The following is a 15594-nucleotide window of genomic DNA, read 5'->3' as shown; positions in this document are numbered from 1 at the left end:
TTTTGTATTTTTTGTTTGTTTTTGTTTGTTTTTGTTTTGAGATGGAGTCTTGCTCTGTCGCCAGGCTGGAGTGCAGTGGCACCATCTTGGCTCACTGCAACCTCTGCCTCCCGGGTTCAAGCAATTCTCCTGCCTCAGCTTCCTGAATAGCTGGGACTGCAGGCACATGCCATCACTCCCCGCTAATTTTTTTTTTGTCTTGTATTTTAGTAGAGACAGGGTTTCACCATGTTGCCCAGGCTGGTCTCGAACTCCTGACTCAGGTAATCTGCCTACCTCAGCCTCCCAGGCATGAGCCACCTTACAGGCATGAGCCACCGCGCCTGGCCTGTTTTTAATTTTTTATTTTGTCTCCTCTGACTGTGTATTTTCAAATAGCCTGTTTCTAAGCTCATTAATTCTTTCTTCTGCTTGATCAATTCTGCTGTTAAAAGACCCTGATGCATTCTTCAGTATGCCAATTGCATTTTTCAGCTTCAGGATTTCTGTTTGATTCTCTTTAATTATTTTAATCTCTTTGTTAAATTTATCTGTTAGAATTCTGAATTCCTTCTCTGTGTTATCTTGAATTTCTTTTGAGTTTCCTCAAAATAGCTATTTTGAATTCTCTGTCTGAAAGGTCACATATCTCTGTTTCTCCAGGATCGATCCCTGGTGCCTTATTTAGTTCATTTAGTGAGTTCATGTTTTCCTGGATTGCCTTGATACTTGTAGATGTTCACTGGTGTCTGGGGACTGAAGAGTTAGGTATTTATTGCAGTATTTGCAGTCTGGGCTTGTTCATACCTGTCTTTCTTTGGAAAGCTTTCCAGCTATTTGAAAGAATGTGGGTACTGCAATTTAAGCTGTATCTGCTTTAAGGGGAACCCCAAGCACCATAGTGCTGTGGTTCTCACAGACTCACAGATGTACCATCTTCATGGTCTTGGACAAGGTCTGGAAGAATTCTCTGGATTACAAGGTAGAAACTCTTGTTCTCTTTCCTTACTTTCTCCCAAGCAAATGGAGTTTCTTTTCTGCTCTGAGCCACCTGGAGCTGGAGGTGGAGTGACACAAGCACCCCTATGGCCACTACCCCTATGACTGCACTGGGTCAAACCTGAAGCCAGCACAGCACTGGGTCTTGCCCAAAACCTGCTGTAATCACTTCCTGGCTACCACCTATGTTCATGCAAAGCCCCAGGGCTCTACAGTCAGCCGGTGCAAAGCCAGCCAGTCCTGTGTTCCTCCCTTCAGGGTGGCAAGTTCTCCCAGGTCCTGGGACGATCCATAGAGGCCATGTGGGAGTAAGGGTCTAAAGTCAAAAACTTTTGAAGTCTACCTGGTGCTCAATTTTTCTGTGGCTGAGCTGGCACTCAAACCACAAGTCACAGTCCTTCCAACTCTTCCTACTCCTCTCCAAAGGTGGAGGGGCCTCACCCCATGGCCACTGCTACCTCAGGCCCACAAAGAGTACTGCCAGACCACCATTGATGTTTCCTAAGGCCTGAGGGCTCTTAGGTCAGCTTATGGTGATTGCCGCCTGACCTGAGACTCACCCTTCAGGGCAACAGGCTCCCCTCTGGCCCAGAGCCAATCCAAAAATGCCACCCAAAAGCCAAGTACTAGCACTGGGGACCCCAGGAACCCACTTGGTGCTCTACCCACCTGTGGCCGAGCTGGTACCTAAGGTGCAAGACAAAGTCCCCTTCACTTGTCCCTTCACTTTTCTCAAACAGATGGAGTCTCAATCTGTAGCCAACACAGCTGGGAATGTGCTGAGTCTCATCTGAAGCCAGGAAGTCTCAGAGTCTCACCCAAAGTTCTCTGATGTACCTGGGAATCACTGCTGGTTATTCAGGGCCCAAGGACTCTTCAGTTAGCAGATCATAAATCCTTCCACACAGAATCCTTCATTTCAAGGCAGTCAGTTCCCTTCTGGCCCAGGATGTATCTAGAAATGTCATCTGGGAGCTAAGGCCTGGAACAGGAGCCTCACAACTCTGACTGGTGCCCTATTCTGCTCTGGCTGAGCTGCTACCCAAAGGGTAAGACAAAGTCCTCCCTACTTTTCTGTCTTCTCTCCTCAAGCAGAAAGAAGAGGTCTCTTTAGAAGCCACAAGCTGTGCAACCTGGGGTTAAGGGAGGGGTGATGCTCGCATTCCCTTAGCTGTCCCAGATGATGTCCCAGTAGCTTGCGTGGCCCCCAACCCTCTGCCCCACCCAGTTCACTGGCTCTGGCCCAGTTAAGCACTAGGGCTGTCCTAGGTGTTGCAGTCCTTGTGGCTTACACTGTCTTTCAAGTTTATCTGAAGCACCAGAGCACTTTAGCCTGCAGTGGTAAGCCTTGCAGGAACTCAAGTTCCGACTGCCAGCATTAGTGAATCTACTCTGGCTAGAGCTATTTTAAATGCACCCTCCATGGGCGGATGTCAGCTGAGTTTGGCCTGGTTTTGCTGCTACAGTAAGGGCAACACTGAGTTCAATGCCTCATAGATGCTGGCTCTCCCTCTCCCTAGTGCATAGAAATGTCCTCTGCACCACGCCACTGCTGCCCGGGGGATGGGGGAGGGGTGGCATCAGTGATTCAAAACTGTTTTTCTTACCTCTTCAGTGCCTCTTTCTGCAATATGAAGTTAAAATCAGGTACTATCAGTGCTCACCTAATTTTTGGTTCTTATGAAGGTTTTTTTTGTGTGTAGATAGTTCTTAAATGGGTATCCTTGTAGCAGGAAGATTGGTGGAGGCTTCTATTCCACCATCTTGTTCCACCCTTCCTTTATGTGATAAGTATTTTCATGTGTCAACTTGGCTGGGCCATATTGTCCAAATATTTGGACAAACACTTTTTGGATGTTTCTGTGAGCATGGTTTGGTATGAGATTTACACTTACAACAGTCAATTTTGAGGAAAGCAGATTGCCCTCTGTAACATGGGCGGGCCTCATCCAATCAATTGAAGGCCTCAATAGAACAAAAGACTGTCCTTCCTTGAGCAAGAAGGAATTGTGTAGCAGATGACCTTTGGACTTGAATTACATCATGAGCTCTTCCTGGATATCTAGCCTGTCCACCTACCCTATAGATTTTGGACTTGCTAGCCTCCATAATTGCATGAGCTAATTTCCTTAAAAAAAAGTCTCTATACACACATCCTATTGGTTCTATTTCAGAAAAAGTCTGACTGAAACAGTTGCCCTATTAGTCGCATTTGACCGAGTTGTTCATTCCCTCGTCCTTTGAAAACTTTATTTGCTTGGTTTCCAGGATAACACACTGTCCTGGTTTTTCTCCAACCTCACTGGCTGTTTCTCCTCAGTCTCCTTTGCTGATTCCTCCTCATTTTCCCTGCTTCTAAATGTTAGAGTACTCCAGAGCTGAGTCATTAGACCTCTTCTCTATTCTAGTTAATCTCACCAAGTCTCATGGTTTTAACATTATATATACACTGCTACACCAACACATTCCAAATGTATATTTATAGTCCAGACCTCCTTCTTTAACTCCAGGCTCATCTGTCCAGCTGCTTATTCTAAATGTGTGCTTACTGTCTGATAGGCATCCCAAAGTTAACATTTTCAAAGCCAAATTATTGAGCTCTGCCTCTTTCCCAAACTGTTCCTCCTCATAATCTTCTCCATAGTAAATATAATATTATCATTCTAATAACTCAGGCCAAACACCTCAGAGTTATCCCTGGATTTCTGTTTTAGTGACACCTCCCATCCAATCTGTCCGGAAATGCTGGTGCTCTATCTTTAACATATAACCAGAATCTAACCACTTCCTACTACCCTTGCTGCCACCACACTGGGCCAAGCCACCATCATGTCTGCCCTGTGTAGTAGCTCTCACCTTGCAGCTGGTCTCTGTACTTCCACCCTTCCCCCAAGGGATTCATTCTGGTTGCACGCAGCAGCCAGAGTGAGTCTTTAAAAATACAAACCCCACTTATCACTCCTCTGCTCAAAAGTTTTTCAACTTGCTCAGAGCTGAAGCCTTAGTCCTTACAATTCCCTAAAAGGCTCTATACAATCTCTCTTCCCTCCTCCCATTCCCTTTTCCCCCTTGCCCTGGCAGATATGACCTCACCTCAGGTCCTTTCATATGCTGTTTCCTCTGCTTGAAATGTTCTTCCTACAGATGAACATTCCCATAGTTCCCTCCCCTCACCTTCTCCAGTCTTTGTTCAGTGGCTACCTTCCTGGTGAGACCTTCCAGGTCATCCAATCTAAAACCCAAACTATCTCCCATTCCTTATTACTTCTCCCTCCTTAATTTTTCTCCATAACATTTCTTTGACAAATGCACATTTTACTTCTTTTTCTGTCTCCTCTCTCATTACAATGTAAGTTCCATAAGATAGGAATTTTTGTTTTATTTGCTGTAGCATCCTCAATTCCCAATATAATACTTTAACATAAAAGGCACTCAATAAATGTTTGTTGAATGAATGAATGAAAAAAAAAACTGTAAATACTCATTTTTGGAAAGAGTATGGGGAAAAAGACAATCTCTCACATTGTGGGGGAAAATATAATTTATGCACTATTTTTAGAGGTTTTTGTGTCCTACAGTGAGCTATCAGCTCTGACACACACAGCAAATACATTTTGTGCCTAAAGCTGCTTAACTTACGTCATTTACATTACCTGCCTGGCCTCAGGTTACCTGCCTGGCCTCTGCAGCCTGTTGAGTTTTCCACCCGTGGCCCACAGGTACTTCCCATTTTGATCCTTCTCTTAAATGATCCTCATGCAGCCACAGCAAGAATACTCTAAATTCTCCTCCAAACAGCATGTTGTTTGGTGCTTCTCAACCACTGTATACTTTTTCTTCTGCTTTTTCCCCCCTTTCTCTGCTGAGTTAATGACTTTCTTCTAGACTCAGTTCAAATGTCAAAGGCTCAGTGAACCCTTCACTAAACACCCTGGCAGTGACTCCTATTTGGGTCCTGCTAACGTTTTGCGTAGAATTTAATTACAACTGTGGTATATATCGTGTTGCATTGAGTGTTTGCTTGGGTTCTTGTCTCCCAGTTACAATGAGAGCAAACACATGACATCCCCGTCTTTGTCTCCAGGTCTCAAACACAGTGCTGGCCTGACGTTTTTGGTTGCATGAACAAAGAAGTCATTGAATGTCTTTTCCTATGTTTCTTCATGCTTATCTTTTTTCCAAGTAAAATGTTTAAAAGTTGGCCACGTAACATTAGAATGATACATCTTCCCAGATACAACCAAGCTGATGCCTGCACACAGCATCTCTAAATACTTCCAGAGTCAGATACTCTTGCTTGGAAGCATCAAGGCACAGTTTCTGTACAGACAAGACACCCAGGATTGGTAGTCAGGAGGGGAAGCTAAACAGCAGCAATAGCTTCTGCCCCAAATTTGCTACTACTTTAAGTGGAGAAGTCTAGATGACAAATTTTTCCATCATTAGAAATGATGATAGAATATATTCATTCTATCTACCTTTTTTATACAAAAAGTTATGATTTCATTATAAAATGGTTAACTAGGTAAGACGGTTAACTCGGTGGCTCCCCTTCTTCCAGACCCCAAAGAGAAACCTACTCTTCATTCCTTTTTTCCCCCTAAATCTAAGACAATATTAATGAGGCATAAAGCTAGCTGGTGTCAGATGTTTTGAGCACACTGATCCACAGTGCCGGAATCAAGTAACTCCACACCCTAAGAAGTGGCTTTAACCCAGGATGACACAATCTGTATTTGTCAAATCGCCAACTTAAGAAAGAAAGAAATTGTTTAAAAGCCCTTTGTTACACAATAATGTTTTATTCAGAAGGAGAGGAAAAGTTAGACTGATACAAAAGGCAATTCTTTCCATTTTCTACTTTATCCCACAACCAAATCAACTCTGCTTCTGTGTTGCTAGTGCCTCCTCCGACTTTATGCAATGAGACTTCTCACGAGCTGCCATTAAGCTGCTCGTTAACAGAAGAGTTGTACACACCTCTCCAGGGCAGCTGGAAGGAGTGACAGAGTGGAAGGAGCCTGGGCATGGGTAGAGATTATTTTTAAATGTGGTTTGTCCCTATTTTGTCCAAAAACACAGGATTAAAAAAAAACAAAAAACTGTAGATAAACAAGAGAACCATTTCTTACCACCAGAGAATTGAAGCTAGGAGGAAAACACTTTAGTCCCTGGCCTAGAGTGTTAGAGTCCAGAGCAGAACACATTACTTGATGGCTAAGATAAATATTGACCTTTGTATTCAATCTGATAACTGGCACACATTAGAAAAACAACAGAGAACCTTATGACTTGGACCAAGCTTGTTTTTAACATTCTTTTCTGTCTTACTAATATCTAGGACCCAGCCCCATATTGAAATATCATGTAACAGAAACCAAAGAGCTTTCTCTGTAACTTAACTAATACTTTTTCAATGAGATCTGAGTATTTCACTATGCAGATTGAATTTGACAATCAAGTATTTTTACCTCTTTAGCTCTGAATACCATATTTTTAGATTCAAATTTTCTAATGCAAGCAATAAGTAAAAATGTTCTGATCAAATATAATTGTGTTTTTCTACCATCATCATGAATAAATTGAAGGATTTTTTCTAGGCTAGGATTTTAAAGGAACATTCACAAACCAGAAAAATGTAATTAAGTATAGGTTTTTAATATAAAATGATGAGACTAGAAGTAATTTACATTATAATTTTAACATTTGAGTGGGTAATAAAATATTTCACAAAAATCACCTTTCCAGTGTGAGGCTTTGAAAAGCACACAACTTGCAATGAATATCTTTTTTTTTTATCTACCTGGTATCCCTTTCTCTCCTTCTTTGGTAATGCCCCATCTTCTTTGGGATAAACTTTCTCCCAAGATTAGAGCTGCCAGTTAGGATACCCAGCTCCCCACATGCCAGGCCAATCTTGTTCTACTGGCCACAGTGTTTGAAATTTCACCTGACACTAAATATCAGCCATTCCTGATATTTTTCTGCATGAGCTATTCAAGCTGGGGGATGTATGTACAGCCAGTGCTATTTGGGCCTCTGCTCCTTGTAGTCTAAAACAGACTGATTTCCTGTTGGACAGATTGAAGACAAGTCCGAGAGGAATGGATTTGATAGAAGGGGCAAAAAGAAAGATGCTAACTTTGCTAGGTCCTCTGATGCTGGTCTCTGAGGTCCCCAGAAATGCAATTCTTCCTCAATGCTCTGAGTTACCTCAGTATTAATCCAGAAAAGCCATCATACCTCCACCTCAATCCAGTTCAAACTGGCTTTGGCACTTGCAACCAAAGAGTTCTGACTCAGGAACGCTCATTTGAGCATATATTGTAGCATTTAAGGGTTCTTATGGAAAAAAAAATTGATTGAAGAGAACTATAAAAATTGGCATAGCCTGTTTACTGTATTCCATTATGTAATATATTGTATATTGCCAGGAGCATTTAAAATGATTTGCCTGAACAATTTGCTTTTCACTTGGCCTCCTTTGTTGACCTCTCTCACAACGTTCATATTAATTAAGAGTGACAGTAAATTGATCACTGAAATTAGAAGCTTTTCCCTTGTCTGAAATGCTATTTTATTTTCTATAATTCACAATACTTTTAAAGCACATTTAATGCTTAAGACATAAACTTGTATTTTGCCTAAATTATGCACCACATCTATGTACCACACACATACAGATAATACTGCAAATATTCTAATATTTTCCAAGGCTTATATCAACAAGTAGTCAAGAGGCCTGAATTATAGTGTTTGATATTTTGTTAACTAACTCTAGGGCTGGGTATCTTGCTTAACTTCTCTGAGTCTCAGGGAGAAGAGGATGAAATAGATGGGTGTCTTCCAGTTTTAAGATCCTAATTTTACAACTAGAAAAGAAAATCAGTTTTGTTAAAAAAAAGTTTTGCTGATTTTACAAAAAAGATCAAACACTGCTCTTTATTTTTCCCTTTGGACAGTTTACCAAAAACATTTCTTGAAAGTGTGATCGGGGGGAAGAAAGCCACCTGACCCAAGTGAATGCAAACTCTCTTGGTCTTAGAAAAGGTTCTATTGCCTAAAGCAAGGGTTCCCAACCCCTGGGCTGTGGACAGGTACTGGTCCGTGGCTTGTTAGGAACCGGGTGCACAGCAGGAGGTGAGTGGCTGGCCAGCAAGCATTACCCCCTGAGCTCTGCCTCTGGTCAGATCAGTGGTGGCATCAGATTCTCAGAGGAGCACGAACCCTATTGTGAACTGCACATGCGAGCGATCTAGGTTGCACACTCCAACGGGAATCTAGTGCCTGATGATATGAGGTGGAACAGTTTCATCTCACAACCATCCCCCATCCCCTCATCCCATGGAAAAAAATTGTCTTCCATGAATCTGGTCCCTGGAGCCAATAAGGTTGGGGACGGCTGACCTAAAGGATTCAGAATACACTGGCCTAGATAATGAACTAACAGGAGACTAAAACTAAACAAAAATACTTAAAAATATCATTTGTATAATTTCAGAATCATGAAAGTTTTTTTTTTTTTTTAGGAAACATAAGATCTTTTTAACGGCCTCAGTGAAAGAGAGAAATTTTGAGCTGGGAATTAAAATGTCAAACCAGTCAAAACTGATAAATTGGACACTCAGATTAATTAAATGTACATTATTAAAATAAATGTTATATACCTTTATATAATATGTCAACAATTTTCAAAAATTTATTTTGAAGTGTTAAAGAGATAGCCCCAAATTTCAGTTTTGCCCCTAAAGATATGAGTTATGGGATGCTACAGTTTTGGCATCACCATCTCAAGGCTTTGTGACTTTGGTATGTTAGGTGATTGCGGTTGCAAGATATAGAACTCAACCATGTTACTTTGGGGATTAGGGTGTTGGTTTCTTTTCATTTAGTTTATAAAGAATACCTATGAAATCTCAGCCATGAAATCAAGTGTTCCATGAACAACAGAAAAGTTGAACAATCAAAGACCCTGATATAGTTTGGCTCTGTGTCCCCACCCAAATCTCATCTGGAATTGTAATCCCCACATGTTGAGGGAGTGAAGTGATTGGATTATGGGCGTGGTTTCCCCCATGCTGTTCTTGTGATAGTGAGTGAATGCTCATGAGATTTGATGGTTTTATAAATGGTAGGTTTTCCTGCACTCACACACGCTCACTCTTCTCTTGCCTGACACCATGTAAGACGTGGCTGCTTCCCCTTCCCCTGCGATTATAAGTTTCCTGAGACCACCACAGCCATGTGGAACTGTGAGTCAATTAAACCTCCTTTGTTTATAAATTACCCAGTCTCAGGTATTATCTATATAGCAGTGTGAGAATGGACTAATATAGACCCTAAGAGGAGAGGAATGCAAATTAAATTGTGCATTCTGGAAGACAGAATTTAACGGGTGTTCAGAACCCAAGGCATCAGTGAGAGTTTGCAGTCTTTTTTTAAGAGCAGGGATTCTCATCCTGGTGGAATGTCCTAATCATCTCAGGAGTGTTTGAAAATACAGACTTTTGAGGTCCCATCTACAAAGTTTCTGGTCTAGTTGACCGGGGGAAAAGCTCCCAGCTAGATTGTCAATGTCCTGCTCTGTGTATAGTTTGATGTTGTGGCTCCTTATCCTGGTGCCTGCTGCGTGATGACCCGGCCACTATCTGGCTCCCTCAGCTTCTCCCCTACCTTTTTTTCACAGCCTCACTACCTTGGATCCTTCAAGCCTTATCTGTGACTTCACCTTCTTAGCAAGGCCTTCTCTGATAGTAAAAATTGCACCCCAAACCCCAGCACTCTCTAGTCCCCTTCCCTGCATTATTTTTATCCAGCACTTATCACCTAATACACGATTTAATTTACTTATTTTGTGTTTATTGCCTGTCCCACCCACCAGAATGCAAGATTCATGAGGCAGAATTTTTGTGTATTTTGTCCCAACTCTATCCCCAGCACCTAAATCACAGGAGATGCTTAATCAATACTTGTTGAATGAATATATGAATGGATATTTTCTGCTCAGTCATTGTTTGGTAGACATTAGCTTCTGCTTACTGGTGATCTGCCAGGGCCCTTCCTGCCCATGAACACCCTCTGTGAGTCCTTCTGGATTTCAGCTTCCTCAATTGATTGCCTGATTGGATCAGGGTTTTTTTTTTTTTGGACTGATTTTTTTCCCCCCAGGTCATTTTTTGAATGAGTATGACTTGCCTGTGTCTAGGTCAGTGCCCACCCAGGGGCAATCAACAGTGATTCAGGGATTACACAGACAACACAAAAGAGTATATTGCCTGGGGCCACCCTTCAGCAAGGGCTGGAGGAGGGGCAGTTTCTCCAAGCCAACTTTGGTGCAGGATGACTGTGTAGCAAATTACCTAACCGAGCTGAGTTTCAGGAAATTGGCAGTAACAATACCAGTTTGAGACAGACTGAGAATTCTTCAGTGGTTCAAGCAAACAATGTATGGAACACACTCATAGAAGGCATTTTCACTATTAATTTATGATATAAATAAAACAAGATGAGTATGGGAAGTTATCTAATTTTAGATGACATTCAAATGTGGCTTAAAAAAAAAAAGCTTGCTGGTATGGTAGCTCACTCCCGTAGTTCCAGCTACTCGGGAGGCTAAGGTGGGAGAATCGCTTGAGGCCTCGTGTTTGAGACCAGCCTTGTCAATACAGGAAGACCTCATCTCTTAAAAATAAATAAATTAGGCCAGGTGCGGTTGTTCATGCCTGTAATCCTAGCACTTTGAGAGGCTGAGGTGGGTGGATCACAAGGTCAAGAGTTCGATACCAGCCTGGCCAACATGGTGAAACCCCGTCTCTACTAAAAATACAAAAATTAGCTGGGCAAGGTGGCACATGCTTGTAGTCCCAACTAGTAGGGAGGCTGAGGCAGGAGGATGGTTTGAACCTGGGAGGTGGATGTTGCAGTGGGCCAAGATCGTGCTGCTGCACTCCAGTCTGGGCGACACGGTGAGACTCCCTCTAAAATAATTAATAATAATAATAATAATAATTAATAAATCTAAAAGAAGTAGTAGAGGAGAAATTAAGAATTTAGAAACTTGTTGCTTGAGGTGGCTTTGGATTCTTTTTCTCCACCCTTTAATGTTTTTAAAATGTTACTCTCACTTCACATTGATTTCTAGTTGGCAGGGGCTTCTGTACATAACTTCCAAAGTGATATTTAAGAGGAATAAATGCAAAGATCTGCACAGTTTCCAAAAACAAATTGCAAAATACAGGTTGGAGAAGATATGGTTTTATAGCTGTATATATGTTAAAGACTTAAAAAAGATTTGGGGGTAATTTTTGCTTGTTTTTAGTTGGCAATAACATGATATTTATGAACGGTATGGGGTGGTAGAAAAATAATGTGATATCAAACTGAATTTTGAAATATCTTCATTAGGATGCAGAAAATTGTACTCCTCTACTCCTTCCTTTATACTTGGAATATTGTATTCAGTTCTAGGTGCCACATTTTAAGAGACACTGGAGAATGTTTAGATAAATGCGTATGGAGACGAATGAGATGTGAATAAAAAGTGGGTGGAGAAGGCACACATTGTGACTGCTGACTTCAAATGTTTACAAGGCTGCATATGGGGGGGAACCATGCTGTTCTGTATTAAACAATGTTAGTACTAGGTTCAGACTCACTGGACACATTCATACGCATTGCATTCATATTTACAATAATGATTTAAGGTGCTATTATTATCATTTTCTCCTTTTAGAATGGAGCAAACTCATACTTGGAGCAGTTTTGTGCTTTTCTAAGGTCACACAATTAGGAAGTTATAAGCCCAGGATTTGACCAACTTCTTTGGAGTCTAAGTCCAGTGGTGTTTCTACCAATACTGTAGCTACTTACCAAATGTATACAGAGACAGATTTTAGTTGAACATAGAAACTAGCAGGACTGTTTAAAAATGAAAACTGTTGTGAGGTCATGAATGGTTTCCTATCACTTGGAGTTCAAACATATGCTGGATAGCTACATTGCAAGGATCTAGCATATATATATTTACTTTTATAATAAAATATTAAAAACAAATGCTAATCATAGAGCCAAAGAAACTCCAGAAGTAAAGCCTCATGACTATAAGTGATTGAGCTAAGTTCATTCAGTAGTTATTGGAAAACGTAGCATCCAAATTTCATTCTCTGAATTTATAGTTTAATGTTTTTTCCATTATAGCAGTTACCTCTTATCTAACACCTAGGTAATACAATGTGGAACCAGAAGTATGTAAAGAGGAAGGGCAGGGATATTTTGTGAATTATTATAATGGATTGCTTGGCATGCTCTTGTTTTACTAGGATAAGCAAAGAATGTGAATGGTAGTTGGAGAGAGTTTAAAATGATAAGCAGAGAATGCCACATAGTAGAGAAGGGAAAAACAGAATACCACGGAAGGCTAAAAAAGGCTGGGACTGTGGACTTCCCTGTATTTTCTTTTCGTTGAGTAGATGCTCAACATCTATTTGTTGGGATGGAAAATTATTTCAACGCTTCAGCAAACAGTTAAAGAGAACCTTTTTTGTGCTGAGCACTGTGCTATGTTCTGGGGAGCAAAAAAAATGAACTAGACAAAATCCCTGTCCTTTTAAGGAACACACAGTCTAGGAAGAAAAGGCCACCAAGCAAAGCAACAGGAAAAAAGCAAGTATTAAAGATTATCATAGGGAATACTGTAGATAGACGATTTTATGAAAGCAGAGAGAAAAAGAGTATTTAATTCATTGTAAATGTGTGGGGTAAGGATACAGATGTGGTGAAAGGAGATGATGTCAGGGAAGATTCCAAGGAGGAAGGGATGCATTATCTTCATTATCTTGAAGGACAATAGGAGTTCAACTGGTTAAATGAGGGATGGATTTCAGGTGGGGGAAAACTACAAGGGCACAAAGACAAAGTCTGTTGAATTTGTGTGATACGTAGATATATTAGGAGTTGAAGCTGGAGCCAAGGAGGTCAATAGATCAGATTTTAAATGGCTTTGTAAACCATGGTAATGAGTTTGAACCTGATTCAACCAGGTGGAGAGACTTTGAATGATTTTAAAGAGGGACGTTTCATGCTTAGCTCTGTCTTTTTGGAGCATTCTCTCTGGCAGTTATATGGAACTGAAGCAGCAGTGAAGTTAAAGGCTTGACCTAGAGTGGCAAAGAGGTGGAAGTCATGGAGACAGACTGATATTCACAGAATTAAGAGGAAGAATTAATCCACGGGATTTTAAGTCAGAAAACTTTAGTGGAGAGAAATTTGGTTGCTTAGTTGTTGGAATAGGAAGATTTTATCAACGGAATTAGGTGATACTGAAGTGAGTGGCTGAGTGAATAATATGGAAGTCTTGAAATTGGGACCACACAGCTGCTCTGATCTGGTGTGAATTTGCTGATGACTCTTTTGAACTGAATTCAGGAAATGACATACAAATGATTTGCGCAATAAAATGAAAACAAGGACTCTTAAGTCAGTATACTTGGAGAAAAATAACTAGGTTGGTAAAAATGGGGAAGTAGCCATTATCAGGGAGCCCCATTGTGGATTAATTTTGGACTGTCCAGTGGAAAGATCCTCAAAGCAAAACAAATGCCCTGAATCCAGCCCTTCCTCACCGCAACCCTTTCCCTTTCATCTGCCTTCATCCTTCAGCCACACCACCGCTTGGCAGTGAGTACTTGGGAGCAGCTCTTGGAGACTTTGTACTCGAACCTTCGAACTCCAGCATGAGGCCAGAGGAAATAAATGACCTGCCAGGGTGTCAAGTAACGGACCCTCTCTTAAGCCCAGACTTCTGACTCCAGATCTAGGTACCCTTCCACTCTCCAAGACTGCCTCCCGCCTGGGGAGCCTGGGCCTCGGCTAGGGGTGGGGACGGCAGGGTCCGTCCGGAGCGCCAGAGTCCCACTCGCGCCCAGCCCTCAGCCCCAGGCCCGGTTGGACGCCCCGCCCCGCCCCGCCTCCTTCCTCCTTCCCGCGCCGGGCGGGTTGCTGTACCGCCGTCACCCGGGCGCGCGCGGGGTCGCGCGGACGCGGCTCGGGCCGCGGGTGCCGAGAGGTCGCCGGGCCACCCGCACCCCCGCTCCCCGCCTGACGCACGGAGGGGCCGGGACGCGATTTGCCGCGAGTGACTGGAGCCGCAGCCGTCGCCGCTGCTGCCGCCGCCGCCCGGGCCCGCTCCGCCCCCAGCCCGCCTTCCTCCCGCCGCGCCCTCCGCCTCCGCCCGCACCTCGCTAGCGTTCCCCTGTCTTCCCCAACGCCCCGGAGCCGCCGGCCGCTAGCGTCAGCGCCAGCCAGGTGAGTGTGGCCGCCGCTCGGCCCGGGCGGGAGAAGCGCGCAGGCCCCGCGGCCGGGTGGCCGGCTTGGGCCGGTGCAGTCGGCGGCGGCGGCGGTAGCGGGCCCGGCTTTCTTCCCCTGCGCGGGCCGCGGGGCGGAGGGGCTACGCAGTGAAGGAGGGGCGCCCCCGCCCCGCCACCGCCTCTGCTCCCAACGCCCCGACCGCCCCCACCGCCTTGCCGCCACAGACAAAGCGCCGGAGGTGGGAGCCCTGCGGGCCGCCTTTGCCTCCGCGCCGTCTGCCGGGTGCGGCCGCGGCCCGCAGAGACCGGGCCGCGCGCTTTTCCGTTCCTGAGCGCCCTTGTTCATTTCTGGGTGAAAGGGACCCGAATTGTGCAACAGGTTTGGGCGTTAGTCCTTATTTTCCAGCGGGTCTCTTTTGCCAGCGTGCAGGAACCAGATGTGGCTCCCTGCTCTCGGGCGAGTCCCGCGTCCAGCGCCCGCGACTGGCTCCTTTGTGTGACCGGTGACCGGCCCTGTCGGGTGGGTGGAGGACACGGGCTCGAGGCCCCAGGGCTGCGCCGAGGCTCCTGGACGCCTCCTCAGGTCGCGGGGCTTGGCTTCCACGGGCCTGCCAGAGGTTAACATCCCTCCAGCGTTTGGGAGAGTCACAAAGGGGAGGAGAGAGAGGGTTGGCCAGGGTCTGTGGTTGTGTTTATTTTTCTATTTTAGGTAGACTCATATTAGAAAAGAGCCGCAGTCTGACCAGCTCTTGAGGGTACGGGTGGGATTTCACCCTGGGATGCACGGTTTGGACTTGGCTGTTGCTCTGACAGCCCCCGTGGTTTTCTTGGTGCTTTGACATCTTTCTCTTACACACAGACATCGCGGGAGAAGTTGGGAGTGCTGCCGAGGGAGTAACTAGATAGCAGCTGTTTGACAGGTCGTCTCTTACTTCACGTTTTGCTTGTGTCAAGCATGCCCACTATGTATCCCAGCATAGCTTGGCAAACCGTCAAATTTAAATTGCCACTCAAAATCCTAATCCTTATACATACCTACATACACAGACACACATATATCTATATACTTTTTCTGTTTTGGCTGGCTAAATCTTATTAATGTGAGAATTTTTCCTCCCAAGGAAGAATGCATAATAAGGTACAATTTATCTTTGGTTACATACCTTGGTTAAGTTATGCCAATACCTAGCTGGTTTCATTGGTATGCTATTTTAGTTTAACAATACTAATTCCTTTAGCTTTGAGCAGTAAAATACGTCTTTGTTCTAGGACCAGGAAGCTTTTATACGTAATACTTTGCCCCATGACTAAA

General features: G+C 43.7%; 1 protein-coding gene across 1 annotated transcript in view, besides 8 other annotated features; it reads left to right on the top strand.

The window, feature by feature from the left end:
* Nucleotides 795-1295: an enhancer, noted in NCBI's record as "H3K27ac hESC enhancer chr2:180142211-180142711 (GRCh37/hg19 assembly coordinates)". NCBI's record gives its function as "activates a minimal SCP1, AML or CMV promoter by ChIP-STARR-seq in naive H9 embryonic stem cells {active_cell/tissue: H9 hESC(naive)}" and the evidence as "EXISTENCE:reporter gene assay evidence [ECO:0000049][PMID:30033119]".
* Nucleotides 3833-3882: an enhancer, noted in NCBI's record as "active region_16821". NCBI's record gives its function as "activates an Ori minimal core promoter by ATAC-STARR-seq in GM12878 lymphoblastoid cells {active_cell/tissue: GM12878}" and the evidence as "EXISTENCE:reporter gene assay evidence [ECO:0000049][PMID:35858748]".
* Nucleotides 9708-10211: an enhancer, noted in NCBI's record as "NANOG-H3K27ac hESC enhancer chr2:180133295-180133798 (GRCh37/hg19 assembly coordinates)". NCBI's record gives its function as "activates a minimal SCP1, AML or CMV promoter by ChIP-STARR-seq in naive H9 embryonic stem cells {active_cell/tissue: H9 hESC(naive)}" and the evidence as "EXISTENCE:reporter gene assay evidence [ECO:0000049][PMID:30033119]".
* Nucleotides 10212-10713: an enhancer, noted in NCBI's record as "NANOG-H3K27ac hESC enhancer chr2:180132793-180133294 (GRCh37/hg19 assembly coordinates)". NCBI's record gives its function as "activates a minimal SCP1, AML or CMV promoter by ChIP-STARR-seq in naive H9 embryonic stem cells {active_cell/tissue: H9 hESC(naive)}" and the evidence as "EXISTENCE:reporter gene assay evidence [ECO:0000049][PMID:30033119]".
* Nucleotides 13846-14465: a silencer, noted in NCBI's record as "silent region_12154". NCBI's record gives its function as "represses an Ori minimal core promoter by ATAC-STARR-seq in GM12878 lymphoblastoid cells {active_cell/tissue: GM12878}" and the evidence as "EXISTENCE:reporter gene assay evidence [ECO:0000049][PMID:35858748]".
* Nucleotides 13947-15594, top strand: part of SESTD1 (SEC14 and spectrin domain containing 1) — a 163155-nt gene continuing 161507 nt past the window's right edge. Inside the window, exon 1 of the mRNA NM_178123.5 lies at nt 13947-14280. The gene's annotated coding sequence lies outside the window, so the exon portion shown is untranslated. The remainder of the gene's footprint in view (nt 14281-15594) is intronic.
* Nucleotides 14476-14545: a silencer, noted in NCBI's record as "silent region_12153". NCBI's record gives its function as "represses an Ori minimal core promoter by ATAC-STARR-seq in GM12878 lymphoblastoid cells {active_cell/tissue: GM12878}" and the evidence as "EXISTENCE:reporter gene assay evidence [ECO:0000049][PMID:35858748]".
* Nucleotides 14654-14817: a silencer, noted in NCBI's record as "fragment chr2:180128689-180128852 (GRCh37/hg19 assembly coordinates)". NCBI's record gives its function as "represses an EF-1alpha promoter that drives an FKBP-Casp9 reporter gene in an ReSE screen in K562 erythroleukemia cells {active_cell/tissue: K562}" and the evidence as "EXISTENCE:reporter gene assay evidence [ECO:0000049][PMID:32094911]".
* Nucleotides 15146-15215: an enhancer, noted in NCBI's record as "active region_16820". NCBI's record gives its function as "activates an Ori minimal core promoter by ATAC-STARR-seq in GM12878 lymphoblastoid cells {active_cell/tissue: GM12878}" and the evidence as "EXISTENCE:reporter gene assay evidence [ECO:0000049][PMID:35858748]".

Source organism: Homo sapiens, chromosome 2 (assembly GCF_000001405.40).
Source record: "Homo sapiens chromosome 2, GRCh38.p14 Primary Assembly".
Lineage (NCBI taxonomy): Eukaryota > Metazoa > Chordata > Mammalia > Primates > Hominidae > Homo > Homo sapiens.
This window is presented reverse-complemented; position numbering and strand designations above follow the sequence as displayed.